The following is a 20,510-nucleotide window of genomic DNA, read 5'->3' as shown; positions in this document are numbered from 1 at the left end:
CACACTAAGGATCCAAATGATTGTTTTTTTGTTTTTTGTTTTGTTTTGTTTTGTTTTGTTTTGTTTTAAATTGCATTGGGATTAGGCAACAGAAGGGTCTAATGCGGCCGGGATGAGACAGGAGAGTTTTTAGGAGGGTAGCTGCATTCTAAGTAAGGGACTCTGCGGGGGGAAAAGAGGCGCAAGCGTTGCAAGAAGGGAGTGCAGGGGGTTGAGCAGGCACCTCTACAGGAAATGGATGCTGTCCAGGTGCTGGTGGGCGCCCCAGGGCTACGTGGCGAAGCAGCTCAGCCGGTCCAATCAGAGTGCGTCCAGGGCTCGGGTTTCGCGATCTTTAAGTGACTGAGGCAGATCCCCACGCGGCACCTGGCCATGCTCTCAGCTCTCCCGCCGCGGTGAGTATGTTTAAGGAATCCTTTCCATTACGGCGGCCCCATACCTAGGTCCCCGTCCGGGACAGAGGAAGCCGCAACGGGTCCCCCCGGGCACCCGGGCCTTTCTCCTGCCTCCCGCCACGTCCGAGGGTCCGGCCGCAGCGCCGCCTGAGCCCCTCCGCGGCCGGCAGTGGGAGGCGGGCTCTCCGAAAGCCGTCGCGGTGGTCCCAGAAGCCGGGTCATAAATAATTCACGAGCCAGGGTCTGGCGAGCTAAGGGAAGGGCGGCGGCAGCGGTGACTAGGGCGGGAGCAGGAGCGGGAGCCGGGTGCACGGTGAGTAGCTGGGTCCTCATCCCGGAGCGAGAGAGGCATCTGCTGACCAGGCGCGGGGCTGAGCGCACTCCTTCCACTGTACTGGGGGTGTACAGTGAGGAGTGGACGGGTTCGCTCTGCGCCCCCCTTACCCTAGCCATCTGCGCCGCCTCCCTGGCCCCTCAGCAGGTGGTGCGGGCCCGGACAGCGGCTGGGGGCCAGAGGAACTGCGGGGAGAGCGTGGTGGTGCCGGTGCCCGTCCAACCCAAACTTTTTAGTCTGAGTGGTGGCCCGCGACGCCCCGCTTGGGTCTTCTTTCCATCCACTGGGGATGGGGGCGGGGGTGGGGGTAGCCGGCGGCCGTGGTTCCGGAGCGGGAGTCGGAGGTGAGTGTGCGAACTGGACCGGGGCCCCAGAGACTTCGGACTCGCTCTCGGGGAGAACGGTGACCGAGGTGAGACTCGCCAGGGTCTTGGGAACGAGTCTGCGGTAAAGGAAACTCTAGGGATGGCCCCGGGGACGTGAGGCGCTGAGCTTCCCTGGCTGAGTGCGGAAATGGGCCAACACTGTGCAGCCGACCACAGCGGGAGTAGGGATATGGGGGTACAAAGCGAGGCCATCTCCCCGCGTCCGTGGGAGAAAGCATGCACCCCTGGCTTGAAGCACCTTCCCAGCCTCTCGCTCCACGGCCCTTCTGCTTGCATGCGCGGGGACCCGCGGCTATCGCTAGATGGAGAACTGGGGTGCTCAAGGCGCACCCTGCCAGAACACGCCGACCGGACAACAAAGAGGAGCGTGGACAGACCAGGAGCTTCACGGCTGTAGAAAGTCAGAGGCTCGGGATCAGTTTCCCCGAAAGCCCGTGTCTGGAGGGGCAGGGAGTCGGATCGGAGGGAGGAACTAGCTCCAGAACCCCTTCTCTCTGGCAAGATCGCCCCCGATCGGTGCCCAACAGGGGCCGCGGCGGGGAACTGGCGCCGACGCGCTCAGAGCAGCCAAGTTACTCCGGCAACCCCCTCCCCTGCGCGGCTGCGAATTCCTGGAGTCTCTTGGCTTCCCGCGCCCGCCCCGCCGCTCATTCTTTTGTGTCCCGCAGCTCGCGAGAGGCTTCCGCCCAGAAGGGAGCTAGGCCTGGAGGGGGCTTGGCCTGGAGGTGGTTTGGAGGTAAAGGGCGGGGAAGCCGGCGCCCCAGGCTTCATTCTGCAACAGGTTGCTCCTGGAGCCCGCTAAGGCGACTGACCTTTCTGGAGAAAGGTTTGCTGGAGTTCCTGAGGGCGGCAGCTGTTCTTTGTTAAGAAAGCAAGTGCACGATCGTAGTTCTTGAGTGCCCCCCGAGACTCATGCGACACGAACAACCGCTGCGATATGTTGGGTTGAATCATAAGAAATTGTCGGTTTTTTGGATGGAAGATGTGAATATCGTCAACCTCATATGATTCAACTTGTGTGATGTTACTCATTTTTCTTTTCTCACCGTCCTTTCTGTCCCGGTTATCCTAGGAGCCCCGGTGGAGTTGAGCTCAGAGTATTGATGCTAGCAGAAGCAGACAGACCCCAGATAGCCTTCCAGCTGCGTGCCAGGTGCTTTACCTATTAGATCGCTAGCCTGCGAACCCTATGCGAAATCCTCCTTTGACAGAGGAGCAGAAGAAGGGTTGGAGAATTCAAACAACTGTCATCTTGGCAGAGTTAGTAAGGGGGACCAGAGCCCCCTTACTGTTGCTGTTGTCTGTCTATTCAGCAGTGCCCTTTAGTTTATTCTTGTTTTTTTTTTCATGTGTTCCATAATTTTTTTCTAAACTTCCTTCTGATTTCTAAACTTTTCTAAACTTCTTTCTGATTTCTAAACTTCCTTCTGATTTTTATACGAGACAGTTTCTTTGTGTTTTAGTACAATGAGGTGAACAAATGCATCAGAGGACAAGCTGAAAACTTTAAACCAAGTTGGTACTGTTTAAAATATAAAGGAAATAGGTTTTTCAGGGAGCAAAGAGCTATTTCTGAGATTTGTTAAGGGTCAAGATACTTTGTTAAAACAGTGGAAGCTGAGTCGGGGGTAATTTTTATCAGATAAAGGACTTCTTGGATTCTGTAAGTTGCCTGTTCACTCTGATGGTAGTTTCTTTTGCTCTGCAGAAGCTCTTTAGTTTAATTAGATCCCATTTGTCAATTTTGGCTTTTGTTGCCATTGCTTTTGGTGTTTTAGACATGAAGTCCTTGCCCATGCCTATGTCCTGAATGGTATTGCCTAGGTTTTCTTCTAGGGTTTTTATGGTTTTAGGTCTAACATTTAAGTTTTTAATCCATCTTGAATTAATTTTTGTATAAGGTGTAAGGAAGGGATCCAGTTTCAGCTTTCTACATATGGCTAGCCAGGTTTCCCAGCACCGTTTGTTGGGAATTGAACAATGAAAACACTTGGACACAGGAAGGGGAACATCACACACCGGGGCCTGTTGTCAGGTGGCGGGAGTGGGGAGGGATAGCATTAGGACATATACCTAATGTAAATGACGAGTTAATAGGTGCAGCACACCGACATGGCACATGTATACACATGTAACAAACATGCACATTGTGCACATGTACCCTAGAACTTAAAGTATAATAAAAAAATATATATACATATACATATATATATGTATATGTATATATATAAAAGGACTTCTTGAAAGGATGGTCCCTGGGTGGCTTAGGTAAGTGGCAGCAAGGCTGGCTAGCCAGGCTTAGGAATCTAGGACATGCCACAGGACCCCTGATGGGTGGGTGGCTGCGGCTGCCAGAACAGGACCCTGGATGTGGCTACTGGCATTGCTGCCATCATTGCTGGAATGAATTAGATACTGTCCTGCTTCAGAGTGCGCAGGCCCAGGCCCAGAAGAAAGCTTCTGATTGGCCCAGCATGGCTCAGCTCCACCAGGACACAGTTTGGGCGCCTCAGCTGACCTCACAATGCAAGGCAGGGCTGCCTCCCACCCAGCTCACAAACGTGGTCTCAGATGTTGGGTATCCCCCATGCCCCCGCCAAAAGCACTCCAGATGACAAAAATCCACTACAAAGCTCTTCTTTAAAAAGAAAGATTCTGAGAAGTTCCATCAAAAGAAGAAAAGAAGAAATGAAGGTGATTGATCACCATATTTGCTTTTTCATTTTTAATTTTTTTTTTTGAGATGGAGTCTCTGTCACCCAGGCTGGAGTGCAGTGGCATGATCTCAGGTCACTGCAACCTCCGCCTCCCGGGTTCAAGTGATTCTCCTGCCTCAGCCTCCCGAGTAGCTGGGACTACAGGTGTGCACCACCACACCTGGCTAATTTTTTTTGTATTTTTAGTAGAGACAGGGTTTCACCATGTTAGCCAGGATGGTCTCGATCTCCTGACCTCGTGATCCGCCCGCCTCGGCCTCCCAAAATGCTGGGATTACAGGCTTGAGCCACCACGCCCGGGCCATATTTGCTTTTAAACCAGTATTGAAATGCAGTTCTCTGGACTCCAGGCTCAAAATCATGTAAGGTCGCCCAGGCTGGAGTGCAGTGGTATGATTATGGCTCACTACAGGCTCAGCTTCCTGGACTCAAGTAATCCTCCTGCTTCAGACTTCCGAGTAGCTGGGACTACAGTTGTGCACCACTACGTTTGCTAATTTAAATTTTTTTTTTTTTTTTTTTTTTTTTTGTAGAGACAGGGCCTCTCTATGTTGCCCAGGCTGGTAGCAATTCTTCATTGAGTACCAACTGTGTTCCAGGCTCTGGGGATACAGAAATAAGCCAGGGACCTGCACAGCAGCTGGGGTAGATCAATTCAAAGCAATATGAAAAGGGCATTTGGGGAGCTTTCACCTTACATGTGTTATTTTCCAATGTGTTTGGGAAGCCTGAAGTGTCCTTGGAAAGTGACATGAATTGACTAGGCGGGTACTCCAGGATCAGAGTACTCCAGGAACAGAACTGTTCTCAAACTTTGTTTGAAGGATCAGTCCCCAGGAAAGCTTGTTAAAAATGCAGATTAATGGGTTTCATCCCAGAAATTAGGTCCATTAATAGTCTGCATTTCAACTAAACACCCCATTTTATCCCGAGACAGATGCTACTCTCAGTGGCTCTCGGACCTAGTGGGGTTTAGCTGGTAAATACTCAGAGCTTCTGTTTTTGGCACAACCTATTAAACCCGAGATAAAAAACTCTTCCTCTTTGACTTGACTTTAATCAGTTTCTAGTATTTCATAGTTAGTGAGATATTAATACTTTCTTAAAATGTACTTTAAAACTTCAGAGGGACCTACATTTTGGAGCAAGATGTAAAGAAATCTGGAAGTGCAACTGCAGTTGCTGTCTATCTCAAGTCATTGTCTCCCATCTTTGCTGCGGTGAGCAGTTATGTTTCACTTCACTGGGAATTTCCCTTCCCCTGCTTTGTCACTGAGGGAGTTGGAGAGCCTGTTTGTTCATAGTTCTTCCCTTGGCAGTTTCTCTCTGTCCTGGGCTGAGGTTTGGTGGAATTACCAGAAAGTGGGCCTTCTCAGCATCTGAGCCTTTAATCCTTCCAGCTGCTGTGCTGGAGGCTTAGCTCTCTGCCTGTCCTTTAGCAAAAAAAAAAACCAAGATAAAGTGTACATGTGGTGTGTTGTGCTTGCAGTAGATGTTTGAAGGGAGCCCTTTGGAAACACCAGGGTCAAGGTGTCTATTGTGGATGTGACGGTGGGCGTAACCTGAAGCGTGGGCCTGAGGTTAGTACTGGCAGCCACTTGGGATCTGAGCAGCCCATGATTTGACAAAGGAAGAATTTGGGGCCCTTGTATTGGTAGCTTTGTGCAGGAGTAATTGGAGTGGGACAGGACTTAGAAGATGAGGCAATGGAGGGATTAGATATGAATTAACATCTTTGTTCAAATAGCTCAAGAAATCCCATCTGTTGTCCAAAGCTTTCTTTGACTTGGAATATTGGTAGTGGGTCCTCTGGCTTCTTGCAAAGTATGTCACCTTCTTCATCATCCCCCTTCCCTTTCTTACAGTATGTGTTTCAGGAGCACCCTGTACTTATCTTGAAAGTTAGTAAGTATGTATCTAGCTCACAAAGTGACAGCAGCTTGCTCTTGCTCCAGGACACTTAATACAGAGAGGAAGAGTGGTACACTTGGGATCCTTCCAGGTTCTGTGCTGATTTGCCTAGTCTCATGAAACCGCACAAGGAAATAACATATTTTGGCTTCTACGCCAGCACTTGCCCTGTAGCTCTGGAGCAGGCTGTGTTTGGTTTCCACCCACCTACCTGGATTAGGCTGAAGGCCCTGCTCTAAAGCTTTGCAGCCTCCTGTCTGGGGCACTTCTTGCTGCAGGCAGGTTACATGCATTGGTGACTCTGCTGCTATTTCTTTCCCTGCCAGGGATGGTGCCATGAGTGAAACAAGCTGCTCAGCAGGCACTTACTAAACACCGACTACGTGCCATGCCCAGTGTTAAGGTCTGGGGATTGAAAGAAGAGTAGGACAGAGTCCATCTTGGAGGCACTTTCTGTCCCATTCCCTTCCCAGATGCTGGAGCCACAGCTGCTTTTAGGATTCTTGTGTCTTTCTCCGTCTCCCAAGGGGTAGGTAAGAGTCTCCCTCTGCCCTGGCTTTCATCTCTGAGACCCCTAGTTGTAGAGGTGGTGACTTAGGGTGAAGATTTCCATCAGGATTACTTGGTAAGCTTATTAGAAAGACAGGTTCCAGTGTTGCACATGTGTCCAGCCTCAAACGGTGTGGTCCCTAGACTTGAGGCCATGCCCTTCTACTTTGGATTCGGGGTGAGGTGGAGAGGGGGATGTTTGAAATGAGATTAGTGAGTAAATAAGTAGAATATAAGGCAGAGTAAGATATATCTCCAGCGGCAAAGAGAACAACACACACTTGGAGAAGAAATAAGCATATAAGCATGTACTGGATTGCTGGGGCCCCAGTGGCTCGTACTAGAGCCTGAGAGGGAGGGCACTGAAGGGACAGTGTCTTGATGTCATAGTTAGATCTTGGACTTTGAAGGCAAACTAGTGGGTTTGACTCTTGGCCGCATGGTTAATTGAAGGGGTGGGTTGCCCCTCCACACCTGTGGGTGTTTCTCGTTAGGTGGAACGAGAGACTTGGAAAAGAAAAAGACACAGAGACAAAGTATAGAGAAAGAAATAAGGGGGCCCAGGGGACCAGCGTTCAGCGTACGGAGGATCCATCCTGGCCTCTGAGTTCCCTTAGTATTTATTGATCATTCTTGGGTGTTTCTCAGAGAGGGGGATGTGGCAGGGTCACAGGATAATAGTGGAGAGAAGGTCAGCAGATAAACACGTGAACAAAGGTTTCTGCATCATAGACAAGGTAAAGAATTAAGTGCTGTGCTTTAGATATGCATACCCATAAACATCTCAATGCCTTACAGAGCAGCATTGTTGCCCGCATGTCCCACCTCCAGCCCTAAGGCGGTTTTCCCCTATCTCAGTAGATGGAACATACAATCGGGTTTTATACCGAGACATTCCATTGCCCAGGGACGGGCAGGAGACAGATGCCTTCCTCTTGTCTCAACTGCAAGAGGCATGCCTTCCTCTTATACTAATGCTCCTCAGCACAGACCCTTTACGGGTGTCGGGCTGGGGGACAGTCAGGTCTTTCCCTTCCCACGAGGCCATATTTCAGACTATCACATGGGGAGAAACCTTGGACAATACCTGGCTTTCCTAGGCAGAGGTCCCTGCGGTCTTCCGGCCTTCCGCAATGTTTGTGTCCCTGGGTAGTTGAGATTAGGGAGTGGTGATGACTCTTAACGAGCATGCTGCCTTCAAGCATCTGTTTAACAAAGCACATCTTGCACAGCCCTTAATCCATTTAACCGTGAGTGGACACAGCACATGTTTCAGAGAGCACGGGGTTGGGGGTAAGGTTATAGATTAACAGCATCTCAAGCTGAAGAATTTCTCTTAGTACAGAACAAAATGGAGTCTCCTATGTCTACTTCTTTCTACACAGACACAGTAACAATCTGATCTCTCTTTCTTTTCCCCACATTAGGGAGGGCACTGAAGGGACAGTGTCTTGATGTCATAGTTAGATCTTGGACTTTGAAGGCAAACTAGTGGGTTTGACTCTTGGCCACATGGTTAATCACCTGTGACCTTGGGCAAGTCACCAGAATCCTCTCTGTGTCAGTTTCCTCATCTGCAAAATGGAATAATGCCTTAAACAAGGAGGACCTTGTTTCTATCTATGAAGCATGGAGAACAGTGCCTGGAAGATAGTAAGTGCTCAATAAATGTTAGTTTCCAAGATCTCAAGCTTTCTCTACAATATTTAGTATTTCCCGAACCCATAAAGGGTCTGTGTTCTGAGTCTGGCCCTCCTGAGAAGGGACCTTCTGTGAGTCATGGCTTTGATGCCAGCACCTGCCCTGTGGCTCTGGAGCAGGTTGTGTGCTTGGTTTCCACCCACCCATCCGGATTAGGCTGGAGGCCTTGCTCTAAAGCTTTGCAGCGTCCTCTCCGGGCAGCTCCAGGTGCAGGCAGTTTACACGCATTGATGACTCTGCTGCTGTTTCTCTCCCTGCCAGGGATGGTGCCTTGAGTGAATGACCCCCTTGGAGAACATTCTTCCGCATCCCTCGCCTCAAGCCAGCCTCAGACAGAAAACTGAAGATTCAGCAGATCCAGTGCTTCCTGCTCCTCTTCTGCCCAGGAACACGCTTGCCTTCCCCAAGGCTTCCAGAAGCTCTGAGGCAGGAGGCACCAAGTTCTACCTCATGTTTGGAGGATCTTGCTAGCTATGGCCCTCGTACTCGGCTCCCTGTTGCTGCTGGGGCTGTGCGGGAACTCCTTTTCAGGAGGGCAGCCTTCATCCACAGATGCTCCTAAGGCTTGGAATTATGAATTGCCTGCAACAAATTATGAGACCCAAGACTCCCATAAAGCTGGACCCATTGGCATTCTCTTTGAACTAGTGCATATCTTTCTCTATGTGGTACAGCCGCGTGATTTCCCAGAAGGTAAGTGCTGATGGCAGGGAAAGATAGGATTTATCTCCAAACGCACCCACAATATTGTTTTTTAATGTCAATGCAATCAATATATAATATATTCAGTATTTTAGCGATTGCTTTGCACAGAAGCAGAAAGCATTTAGACAGAAGTTAAGAAGACTTGTACCAGGTTACATAGGTTGCGAGGAATGTTATTATAAGAAATGGAAGCAAACGATGTTGCTATGTTGGTTTTCCACTTCTTTACCTTTTGTTTTGCTTGGTTTTGCTTTGTTTGGGTTAGAGCAATGAATTATTCTAAGGCACTTACCAAAGGTAAAAGTTAGAGTAAAGTTAGGGTAAAAATGCAAATTGTGTGTCATCAAAGGAGAAACGAATAACTAGCAACTGATGGCCACCTCATCGCTTAAAAATTTAACTCTCTTCTGCCCACCACAATATGCAAATTTTGACATTGCTTAGGGTAAGGACAAACATGTTTACTTGATCAGCTGTTTTCTTCATTTCTAAGAGCTTGGGTGTGAGGAAGAGGATTGGCACTTTCCAGAACTGTCATGCCATAGTGCTGTTATTCATCACACACAGTGCTGTTTGTCATTTTCGCCTTCTTAATGTTTGTTGTTTTCCATACTCTTCTGAATTCAGGGTATGTGTTCATAGAAAAGGGATTATGAAAGTAAAAATAGCCTGTGGGAAATATCTGCTACTAGGGTTTGGCACCTAAATTTTTGATTGGCTTAACAGTAAGTCCATCCTAAGCCTGTTCTTTTAGTTACAAAGATTTGATTACAATCATTGATTATAGAATTCGCTGTAATCTTTCTTATCATTTTCCTTAGCTGTTCAGCTACTGTTTGTAAGAGTCCTACTGGTGTGTGTACATGCCTGTGTGTGAGAGAGAGGGAGGAAGAGAGACAGGATGTATTTAGTGAATATCATCACATGTTTATATTATGGGGAGTTTATATATTTTCATTAAAATACATTTGTATTGGTTTTTTAACACTTATTTGTCTTAGGGCAATTAAAACAGCTTGAAGTATAGTTGTCAATTTTTGCTAATTTAAATTTCAGTTCACCAAAACAAATCTCTTTGAATGGTTATTGGCATTGAAGAGAATCCTGAACGAATGCTACTTACTGTTTATGTTGCTGTTAAAAATACTAACTTTGGAAATTCCAAAGACAGAAGTAGAAAATTAGAGTTTATTTCTTAACATTGGATGCAAATTCACTCTTCTGAATAGACATCTCTTGGCTTATTTGGAGACTTAATATGTGTTACTGAATAAAATAACCTACTAACATTTTTATTTAAAAAAACTCTTTAATTTTTGTCGGTACCTAGTAGGTGTATATATTCACGGGGTACAAGAGATATTTTGATACAGACATGCAATGTGTAATAATCACATCATATAAAATGGTGTATCTATCTCCTCAAACATTTATTCTTTGTGTTACAAACAATCCAATTACTCTTTTAGTTATTTCAAAATGTACAATTACATTATTATTGACTATAGTCATCCTGTTGTGCTATCAGATACTAGGTCTTATTCATCCTTTTAAACTAGTTTCCTACTAATGTTTTTAGTCTTTGCTTCTTGGTTTTGTTTTAATATAAAAGGCATAGAATTCAGTTGTCGAATATGAATTTACAATCATTTCCTCAAAAAGACTGGAAAGCTTCCCGTGTCTCATTCTAAGGCATATCATGTAATTAGTTAATCCCATAATCTCTTTCCATATGTTGCTCTATTTTGGTCCCTTTAGATTTGATTGGAAGGTTTCCTCATACTTTTTTTTTTAATAAGGAAAAGCAATGTATTTTAAGGTCTTCATTCTGGTGATCAAGTTCGAAGATGTCTTTTAGCTTACACAACTTCCAATGCATTACAAGGTTTTGAACTGCAACAACATTGTTAGACCGAAGGAGGGAACTGAAGAATTGTAATCCTAATGTAATCTGAGGGTATTAGCCTAGTTTGTCTCTTGACCTTCATCAATACTTATTACCTTGGAGAAGGAAATTCTCAACTTTCAACAGTAGACCAGGGCAGACCAGCATTACCTCTTTGGGAGGAAAAATTATTAGGTTGCTTAAGTAATATAATATTGAGTTTAACAGATGAATCTTGGGGTGTTGGTTTTCTTCCATCATCCTATTTGTATTCTTTCACCTAGTTACTACATTTCCTAGTGGTCTTAAAGTGCCCACTGGGTGCTTTGCAATGTAGAGGACACATATAAGATAATCATGATTTTTCCATTTGGGGCCAATGCATTTCACAAGTACCAAGTCATAAATAGATGCCCTCATAATTGAAGATGCAAAAAACAAAACAGAAAGAGTGAGAGCATGTGCATGATTGAGTCCTATATATTGTTTATTAGTTTAATACCTTAGTACATTAACCAAACACAAGACTTCAGGACAGGTCGTCTGTGGAGTAATATCTTCATAGAAGCTATTCTCCCATAGATATATCCTTTCATTTGAAAGCGTGCAACTGGCCAGTGGGCTCTTCGTGCCTGCTGGCCAGATACAGCCGATATATCAATTTAGAGGAATTGCAGTGGAGAAAGAGTTTAATTCAAGCAGAGCCAGCTGAATGGGAGGCTGGAGTTTTATTACTCAAAGCAGTCTCCCCCAAAATTCAGGGATTGGGGTTTTTAAGTATAATTTGGTGGGTAGGGGATTAGAAAGTGGGGAGTGCTGATTGGTCGGGTAGAAGATGAAATCATAGGGAATAGAAGCTGTCCTCTTGCACTGTCAGTTCCTGGGTGGGGGTCACAAGACCAGGTGAGCCAGTTTATCTATCTGGGTGGCATCAGCTGATGCCTCAAAACACAGGGTCTGCAAAGTACTCTGCAAAGTATCTGCAAAGTATCTCAAGCACTGATTTTAGGCTTTACAACAGTGATGTTGTCCCTAGGAGCAACTGGGAGGTTTAGAACTTTGTGACCTCTAGCTGTATAACTCCTAAACCATAATTTCTAATCTTGTGGCTAATTTTTTAGTCCTGCAAGAGCAGGGTAGTCACCCATCAAGAAGCGGTTTGTCTTGGGAAAGGTCTGTTACTGTCTTTGTTTCAAAGTTAAACTATAAACTAAGTTCCTCCCAAAGTTAGCTGGGCCTATGGCCAGGAATGAATAAGGATAGGTTGGAGGTTAGAAGCAAGATGGAGTTGGTTAGGTCAGATCTCTTTCACTGTAATAATTTTCTCAGTTATAATTTTTGCAAAGGTGATTTCAAGAGTAGTGGTGCTTTGAATGCAAAGTTCCAGTACAGGTCAAGGAATAGAAGAGATAGGGACAGCCCTGGAGCCTGTGCTTCCTCTTTTCTTACCATCTGACTGGAAAGTTTTTCACTTTTATATTCTGTGTCCAATCAATTGGTTTGCCAAATTTTGCATTTGAAACTCTAAGAGAAACCCTTCTTGTATCCCCAGGAAGTAAGGCTTTTTCTCAAGTTCCAGCTTAATAAACATAAAATGGAAAGGTCTTATTCAGCTGGGACTTGAGACAAAGCCTTACTTCCTGGGCAGAAGAGATTAGTTTAAATTAGACAAGGAACACAGGTAACCACCCCTGTGTTGACATGGCAGAATGTATTCTAGAACCTGCTGTGGGTATTTCATAAATGCTTGCCTTGGCCTGAAGCTGCAAAAGGATTACTCTACACAGGGGGCTTAGGCTCATTAAGAAGAGAGCTGTGCCTTACCTTTGAGAAGAGTCTCTTGTTCATTCATTCAAACCTGAAAGGATATTGGTGGCAGGGTGATCAGAGGAAGTTAGGGACAGGGTGTTCCAGGTAGAGAGTAGGGCATGTCTAGGGCATGTAGGAGACTGTGGTTCCAATATGAGTGTCCTACTCCATTCAGTTTCTTGGAATAATACCATAGACTAGGTAACTTAAACAACAGGCATTTATTTCTCAGAGTGCTGGAGGCTGGGATGTCTAAGATAAAGGTGCTGGCAGATTTGCTGTCTAGGGAAGGCTCACTTTCTGGCTTGTGAACAGCCACCTTCTCGCTGTGTGCTCACATGCTCTTTCCTGGGTGCAGGCTCCTGGAGAGAGGGTGAAAAGATATCTTCTCTTTCTCTAATCCCATCAGGCACTAATTCCATCATGAAGGTCTCACCCTTATGACCTAATTTAAACCTAATTACCTCTCCCAGAATCCCCACCTCCAAACACCATCATGTCAGGGGTTAACGCTTCAACACAGAAATGTCAGGGGACACAGATATTCAGGACGTGACAGAGGGTGAAATAGGTATTCATGGAATAAATTGACCAAAGTTAGGGAGAACCAGAGCTGGAGGACCTTGATCTCCAGGGAGTTTTAGAGAGAGAAGGAAGGTGAGGAAGCCTTCCAGCAGAGGTTTCATTTGTTGGACAAGCATTTATTGAAAGTCCCTGCGTTCTGCGGTACACCTTGCTGGATGCTGTCAGCCAGGGTGTACGTGGAATTCAGTTTGGGGAAGAGAACCCATCAACAGCTGATAGGTTAGAGCACAGGGAGGTGGAGGCTTTTGTAGTGGTCTGGAGGGAGGTAATAATGAATTCAAAATGAAACAAAAGGGAATAGGGGAAATGGATGCAGTGTCCATTCCATGTCCCAGGAACTTGGTTTAAATCCTAGCTCTTGCCTGTTAACTGCTGAATGATCTTGGCTAAGTTGTCTAACTTTCAGACCCTTTTTTCTCTTAGACATAAAGTGGATTACAGTTACAATCAATTTGATGCCACGATTGATGTAGGGAGGAGACTTAGGAATCAGAAGGTGTCTCCAGGAGGGATCATTGAACTGTCCTTGCTGCTGTTCCCTTAGGAACATTCTACATGGCATTGCCTCGTAAGAAACAGTCCCTTCACTTTTGAGGTTAAGTGGGCCGTGTTCCCTTGGCAAGCCTGACAGTAGCGGAACAGGGTCTAGAAGCCAAGGTTTGGATGTGATGCTAGTTTACTGATTGGTCTTTGCTTCTCTGCAAAAATATCTACATCTGACAGGCTCTTGTTTTCTTGGTTTCTTTGTTCTTTTCTGCAGTTCTCAGTATCTGCTGTAAGACTTACTTTGCTAAGTGTTTGCTCATTTGATTCTTTTGTTAAACAAAATTATGGGAGGTCTTTGTTCTAGACTGGCCCCAACAGACCAGTCCAAATCAAAATGGACTCAATCATGCTAACTGCGATGTAATCAAACTGAAACTTTAAGGAAGCAGAGAGATCCCAAAACAGACCAAATTTTTTTTAAACTCTTGAAAACAGGAGATTGCATCATAATAACAAAGTCCCCTCTGCTCTAAACTCCACTAAAAAACAAGTAACCTGAAATAATCAGTCAGGTTCTTTTTTTCTATTTCTGTGTCCTTGTTTCCACCTACAAAACTGTTCTGCTGTTTTCCAGTGGGATTTGAGATGAAATAAGTCCGTTAACGATGGAGACAGAGTGACTTCAATGCCTAAAGTTTTGGTCAGCCTCTCAAAATTGCCAAATTTACCAACCTCTCAATCTTGAGAGGTTGATCTAAAGGGGGGAAATTGTTAAAAAATTAAATGTAGCCTAAAGCTGCCTCCTTACATATTTTAAGTTTGGCCTAAATGTTTCTCCATACATAGTAAACTGTGACCTAAACACATTTGTGAACAGACTTGCGACCTACTCTTATAACAAGTAGCTGAGTCTTACCCAATCGCATTAGCTGAGTTTCAGCCAATCGCAGGTGGCCACTAGTTCAAATCCTGTTCAAATAAAGCAAACACCCAGCTGTATCCCATCTAGCTGTTCCTGTACCTCAGTTGTGTTTTCTGCATATCACTTTCCTTTATCTGTCCATAAATGTTATATGACCCAGAGTCGTTCTGAATGTATTCTGATTCCAAGGGCTGCCTGATTCATGAATCATTCTTTGCTCAGTTGAACGCTATTAAATCTAATTTGTCTAAAGTTTTTCCCTGAATACTTCCAATAACTTTGGAAGGTAGATGATGGTGGTAAGTGGTGATATTATTTCTTACATTCTCCTCAACAGATTGGAAAACTAAGTCAGAAAGAGGTTACATGTTCAAGGCACACACTAGCTTGTGGCATATTGAGAAACTCCCATCTCTAGGACTAGTTTTATCTCCTATAAAACACAGCTGCCTTGTGTGTATTTTTCTTTTATTTTACTATGATGCTTTTAAAATGACCATGGGTTAGTATGGAAAATAGTAATTTTTGCACGTTAAAAGTATGCATTGTAAAAGATTGTCTGATGTGGATGATGAGTAGTGCCACTTCCAATTTTATGTGGCCGTGATGAACTTGGCATAAGTTCTGACCAGATCTGAGCTATTCTAATGGAACAAACAAGGAAATACGTCTCCTCTGTTGTTAGTTTCCTATAAATTCTCTAAAATTATTCTCTGCCCTGTTTTGTTTTGGTTTTTGTTTTTTGTTTTTTTCGAGGCAGAGTCTTGCTTTGTTGCCCATACTGGAGTGCAGTGGCACGATCTCGGCTCACTGCAACCTCTGCCTCCCGGGTTCAAGTGATTCTCCTGCCTCAGCCTCCCGCGTAGCTGGGATAACAGTCATGCGCCACCATACTTAGCTAATTTTTGTATTTTTAGTAGAGATGGAGTTTTGCCATGTTGGCTAGGCTGGTCTTGAACTCCTAACCTCAGGTGATCCGCATGCCTTGGCCTCCCAAAGTGCTAGGATTACAGGCATGAGCCACCATGCCCAGCATTGGTATGTTTTTAAATTTAGATTTTAGGATGGTTGGCCTATTTGTAAAAATATTTTAGGTGATTCTGATTTGCTCGTGGGATTTGGTGTGTGTGGGAGTGGAGTTGGGTGAGTTGGTAGAAGTGAGGAAGGTGGGGAGTTAAGCCTTGTTTCCATGGAATTTGAGAGGCCATCAGGATGTTATAGTGAGTATAAGAGCTCCCTCCATTACAGGTAACAGAATCCTATTAGCTGTAAGGACAAAATTATAACAAATTTAGTTGAAAGATCTCAATTGGCTATATTTGCAATTCTAGAATTGAGCGACACTTTATTCCACAAAATTGAATAAATGTCGCAGTGAGTCCAGCAGAGCCTAGCTTAATATTCAGAAAAAGGGCTGAAGAAAGCAGAAACAAAGAACACAAAGTTGAATTGGTCACTTCAAAGTTACTTTCCTTGTAAGACAGGGACATGGAGACAGAGCAATAGAGAAATAACTGGTTACATCAAGTGACTTCAGGTTAAGGATTGAAATGGAGGGAGCTTCATTATCATGCCAATAGCAACTGGCCTGTTTGGGAAATAGGCTGCTATCTGTCTCTCCTGATTTCTTGGAAAGCCAGATAACAACTCAGTTTCCATTTGGTAACGTGGAACTTTAGCATGGGTGACTCCATTTTGATTTTTATTCTGCTCTGTTGGGGCCTAGTACAGGAGCCTAGTCCTAAACAGTGGCCTCCTATCATTTTTATTTAAGATAGCCAAGGTAACCAAAAACAGGGAGTTTCTCATCAGGACTCCGGGTTCTCTCAGGGCACTCAGTGACATATGAGCCACCAGGGACCAGCCCTCACCTGGATTCTCTCTGCCTCCTATCTTGGCTTCTCTGTACATCTACTCTGCCTCCTCCCCTACCCTCTCCCTCTGGCTTCCTGCACCCCTGCAGTCCTCATGGTGGAGAACCAGCTTGTCAGCATCATAGGTTTCAGGCCAGCTTCTTGGAGAGTGGCTGGGAGTTCTTTCTTTTTCTATCCCAATTCTCAATTCCCAGGGAGGGCTTCTGGCTCACCCGAACCAATCATAAACCGTGGAGCCATTGAGTCACGTGGCCGGGGTCGTCTGTGTGAGCCTGGCTGCTGTGGGCCCTCACTGTCACCATGGCCTCAGAGGCAGAGAGAAGCGGTACCCAGGAAAGGGGCGGCTGAGTGAATAGCCAAATCGACGTGTCTATGCCCATGTCCACGTAGGATCAGGCTCCAACATCTGCGTGTCCTTACTTAATTCAGACAAAGCCAGCATTGTCGCCTTTAGAACATGTGACTCATGCTGGCAATGGGCCTAGCCACAAATTAGGTCACACACAGAGGAAAGAACTGATATCTATTGATCCTTCCTCCTCCATGTCAGTCACTCTGCTGGGCAACTTACAGCTGCCATCCTAACAGTCAGAATGGCAAGCACCACTCACTGTGTGCCCGCTTTCAGGGATTTAGGCGAGTCAACAGCACCAGGAGCTAACTGCTGTTATCTCATTTTACAGAAGAGGAAGTCGAGGCTCAGAGATCAAATAACTTGCCCCAGGTGCTAGAGCTGGTCAGTGGCAGAGGCAGGGTTTGAATCCAGGCAGGCTTCAGAGGCAAGTCATAATTGCCACTTTTCTTTCGCTGATGAGGAAAGTGAGACTCAGAGGCTAAGGAGTGTCTAGGGTCACACACCCTGATGGCTAAGAGGCCCAGCCAAGGTTAGACCTGGGACCCTGTGCCCTCCAAACGTAGGCTCTTCCCTCCGTGCTGCACCCTATTCCCTCCATGGAGGAGGAGATCTGTTGTATAGATTTCATTTGACGTCCCCAGTGACCTGTGAGTGGGTGGGTTTGAGTGGCAGGTGACGTGTCTGCAGATTATAATAGATACTTCTAATCTTCCTTGTGTGTCTTCACTTTCATAGGGCAGTCTTCTGTAACCAAACTGAAAAACTCATCCTGTAGACTTTTAGCCTATTATCTAGCCTACAAAGTCCCTCTGAAATAGGGTCCTATCTTGCCCTACATAAATAATCGAGGCGGGCTATGCACAGCTGGGAAATATCTGGCAAAAGACACCAGAAGCAAAGCTTCCTGCTCTGCTGATCTTCAGCGATGACATCCTTTCAGGAGGCCTTCAATACATGCAGGAAAGGGGAGATTAAGTGTGAATGTAAATACAGAGAGGCCGCCCAGCAGCTGCTGCATGAAGCCACCATGGTATTAAATAGCATTTGTCCACTGGGCTTGAGCAGAAATGAAGTCTTGAGATTTACCCCTAGAGAAGTGGCGGGAAAGTGTGGTCTGCAGGGTGGTGCCAGGTCAGAGCCTAGAGCAGGATGACTTTTCCAGGAGAGATGACACAGGTGGCCTGTGCCTGGGATCAAGATTCAGAAAGGAGCCCCAAACTCAGTGGCCCTGGAGTCACTGCCTAGATTTGAATCCCAACTCTGACGTCCACTAGCTCTGCATTGCACAAGTTACTTAATAATCTCTATTCGTTAGTTTTCCCTCTCTAAAGTGGAAATGATAATAATAGTACCTGCTTTTCAGGTCATCTTAATATTTGTTTAGGTAAATTATATTTATAAAGCATTTAGAATAGCGCTTGGTAGATACTAAGTGTTTGTCAAAATATGAATGTATAAAATCCATATTTATTAAAAGCTTTGAAATTAATCTCAGGTCTTGGTGATGACATGGACAAAGAAAGAAGTATTTATTTGACCTTCGCTTTATTGGTTTCCTAGGGCAACCATAACACATTATCACAAACCAGGTAGCTTAAAATGGCAGAAGTGTATTCTTCTGTGGTTCTGTAGGCAGGAAGTCTAAAATCTAGGTGTGGGCAGGGCCACGCTCCATCTGAAGGCTCTGGAGGACAATCTTCCTTGCCTCTTCTAGCTTCTGATGGCTCCAGATGTTCCTTGGCCTGGCCAGGATCACTCTCATCTCTGCCTGTCTTCACAGGACCATCTCTGAGTCTCTTCCTTTCTAAGGACACCTGGCACTGGATTTAGGGCCTACCCCAAGTCCAGGATGATCTCATCTCAAGATACTTAATTATGTCTGCAAAGAACTTTTTTCCAGGTAAAGTCATGTTCACAGGTCTTGGGGTTAGGACTTGGATCTGTCATTTTGGGGAACACCATTCAGCCTGCTACTCCTGCTATATTCTTATTTAGTTTTTCAAGTAACTTTGTGCTGCTCAGAGATATTAAGCAATGCACCCAAGGTCATATTTCTTGAGAAAGACAGAATCAGATTGAAACCTGACTGTCTGATTCCAAGTGCTTATTTCACTTCTGCAGATGTGTAGCAAGCATCTACTGGGCACCAAGCCTGACGCTGTTTGGCAGATGGTGTTGACTGGGTTCCCTTGCTCTCAAAAAGCTGACATTCAGCTGAGGAGACCTCCACCTCCACAATCAGCTGTAGCACAGGGCAGGCTAGTCCGTGCTTACTATGAGGTATGAATAGTGTTCACAGCTGTGTAGAGGAGGGATTGGTCATGGTGGGGGCAATCAGAGAAGGCTTCCTGGAGGAAGTAGCATTCAAACTAAGCTATGAGTGTGTGGAAGAGTTCAAGACACAGAGAACATTCCAGGTGGAGGGAACTGAGGCCTGAATGATGCAAGTTGAGACAGGCTCATAGGACATGGCCTGGGGAGCAGTGAGGCTGGTTCCCTGCATGTCTGGAAGGTTGTGAGGACATGGTCTGAGGAGTAGCTTGGAGGCATATGGCATGCAGGCTCTGGAATGTCATGCCGTCAGGGTGCTGCAGACAGTGGAGATTGAGCATCACTCAGAAGAAAACCTCTAACCCTGCCAAAGCAACATGAAGGAGGCCATGGGGAGCATGGATTGGCCACTGAGTTTGTTTCTGGAAATTCTTGTGTGTATTTGGACACTAGTGGCTTAGCTCAGTCCTATGCAAAGTGTGGCCTTTGGTGCCAACAGCATCAGCATCACCAGGGAGCTTTTTATAAATGCAGATTCTTGGGACCCATCCCACACTTAACTCAATCAGAATTTTCTTTTCTTTTCTTTTTTTTGAGATGGTGTTTCTCTCTTGTCACCCAGGCTGGAGTGCAATGGTGTAGTCTCGGCTCACTGCAACCTCTGCCTCCCAGGTTCAAGTGATTCTCTTGCCTCTGCTTCCAGAGTAGCAGGGATTACAGGCGCCCGCCACCATGCCTGGATAATTTTTGTATTTTTAGTAGAGACAGGGTTTCACCATGTTGGCTAGGCTGGTCTCGAACTCGTGACCTCAGGTGATCAGCCCACCTCGGCCTCCCGAAGTGCTAATTTTCTGTTTCTTTTTATTTAAAAAATATTTAAAATATTAATGTTAAAGTATAATATGCATACAGAAAAATTACGTGTAAGCTTACAGCTTGATGACTTTTCACAAATCGCATCCGTGTAACTAGTACTCAGATCGTGAAAAAGAACCATCCCACGGAGGAACTGCCTCTTGTTACCTGGTCACTGTCTCCTGCCTCCTCCCAAGGGTAACGCCCGCCTGACTTTCCGTAGTATAGATTAATTATTCCTGGTGGGATCACACGATATATACTCTTTGGTTTCTGGCTTCTTTTGCTCAACATTTTGTGAAATTTATCCATATTGTTATGTGTAGTTGTAAATCTTCATTCTCATTGTTGTATACTATTCTATTATGTGTGAATATACCATTGTGTGTTGATCCCCCTACTGCATTGGCATTTGAGAGGTTTTTGGTTGGGGCCATTATGCTTAGTCCTGCTATGAAGATTTTTCCTATGTGTTTTAGTGACTATATGTACACATTTCTGCCGGGCATATATCTAGGAATGAATTGCTGCACGATGGGGTATGCATTTTTTTCATCTCTAGTAATACTGCCAAAAAGTTTTCCCAAGTGCGTATGCCAAGCAAATTTTTTAAAAACATTATTATGGAGAATTTCAAATATGTATAAAAGTAGGAGGAGAGTCTAATGAGTCCCTGTTTATCCATCACTCAGCTCCAACAACTTTCAACTCATTACCAGTCTTACTCTGGTTCTACCTCTATTCACTCCTCCTACCCCCTTCTTTTACTT

At 45.3% G+C, this 20,510-nt stretch overlaps 1 protein-coding gene across 37 annotated transcripts in view, besides 4 other annotated features; it reads left to right on the top strand.

The window, feature by feature from the left end:
- PROM1 (prominin 1) overlaps positions 350-20,510 on the top strand; it is a 115,796-nt gene continuing 95,635 nt past the window's right edge. For 15 of the 37 annotated variants that reach the window (NR_199807.1, NR_199806.1, NM_001441174.1 and 12 more), the window contains exons 1-2: positions 350-395; positions 8,255-8,686. Coding sequence is in view for 34 of the 37 variants with exons in the window: in NM_001441174.1 (NP_001428103.1) it covers positions 8,467-8,686 (220 nt within the window). In the remaining 3 variants the exon portion in view is untranslated. Of the gene's footprint in view, positions 396-643; positions 2,269-6,069; positions 7,946-8,254; positions 8,687-20,510 lie in introns of those variants that run through there. The other 22 variants (NM_001145852.2, XM_047416378.1, NM_001145847.2 and 19 more) reach the window with 9 other exon arrangements.
- Positions 5,075-5,164: an enhancer, noted in NCBI's record as "active region_21346". NCBI's record gives its function as "activates an Ori minimal core promoter by ATAC-STARR-seq in GM12878 lymphoblastoid cells {active_cell/tissue: GM12878}" and the evidence as "EXISTENCE:reporter gene assay evidence [ECO:0000049][PMID:35858748]".
- Positions 6,510-7,227: an enhancer, noted in NCBI's record as "OCT4-NANOG-H3K27ac hESC enhancer chr4:16078769-16079486 (GRCh37/hg19 assembly coordinates)". NCBI's record gives its function as "activates a minimal SCP1, AML or CMV promoter by ChIP-STARR-seq in naive H9 embryonic stem cells {active_cell/tissue: H9 hESC(naive)}" and the evidence as "EXISTENCE:reporter gene assay evidence [ECO:0000049][PMID:30033119]".
- Positions 7,228-7,945: an enhancer, noted in NCBI's record as "OCT4-NANOG-H3K27ac-H3K4me1 hESC enhancer chr4:16078051-16078768 (GRCh37/hg19 assembly coordinates)". NCBI's record gives its function as "activates a minimal SCP1, AML or CMV promoter by ChIP-STARR-seq in naive H9 embryonic stem cells {active_cell/tissue: H9 hESC(naive)}" and the evidence as "EXISTENCE:reporter gene assay evidence [ECO:0000049][PMID:30033119]".
- Positions 15,902-16,495: an enhancer, noted in NCBI's record as "H3K27ac-H3K4me1 hESC enhancer chr4:16069501-16070094 (GRCh37/hg19 assembly coordinates)". NCBI's record gives its function as "activates a minimal SCP1, AML or CMV promoter by ChIP-STARR-seq in naive H9 embryonic stem cells {active_cell/tissue: H9 hESC(naive)}" and the evidence as "EXISTENCE:reporter gene assay evidence [ECO:0000049][PMID:30033119]".

This window comes from Homo sapiens, chromosome 4, assembly GCF_000001405.40.
Source record: "Homo sapiens chromosome 4, GRCh38.p14 Primary Assembly".
NCBI classification, from domain to species: domain Eukaryota; kingdom Metazoa; phylum Chordata; class Mammalia; order Primates; family Hominidae; genus Homo; species Homo sapiens.
Note: the sequence above shows the minus strand (reverse complement) of the source record. Positions and strands in the feature narration are given on the sequence as shown.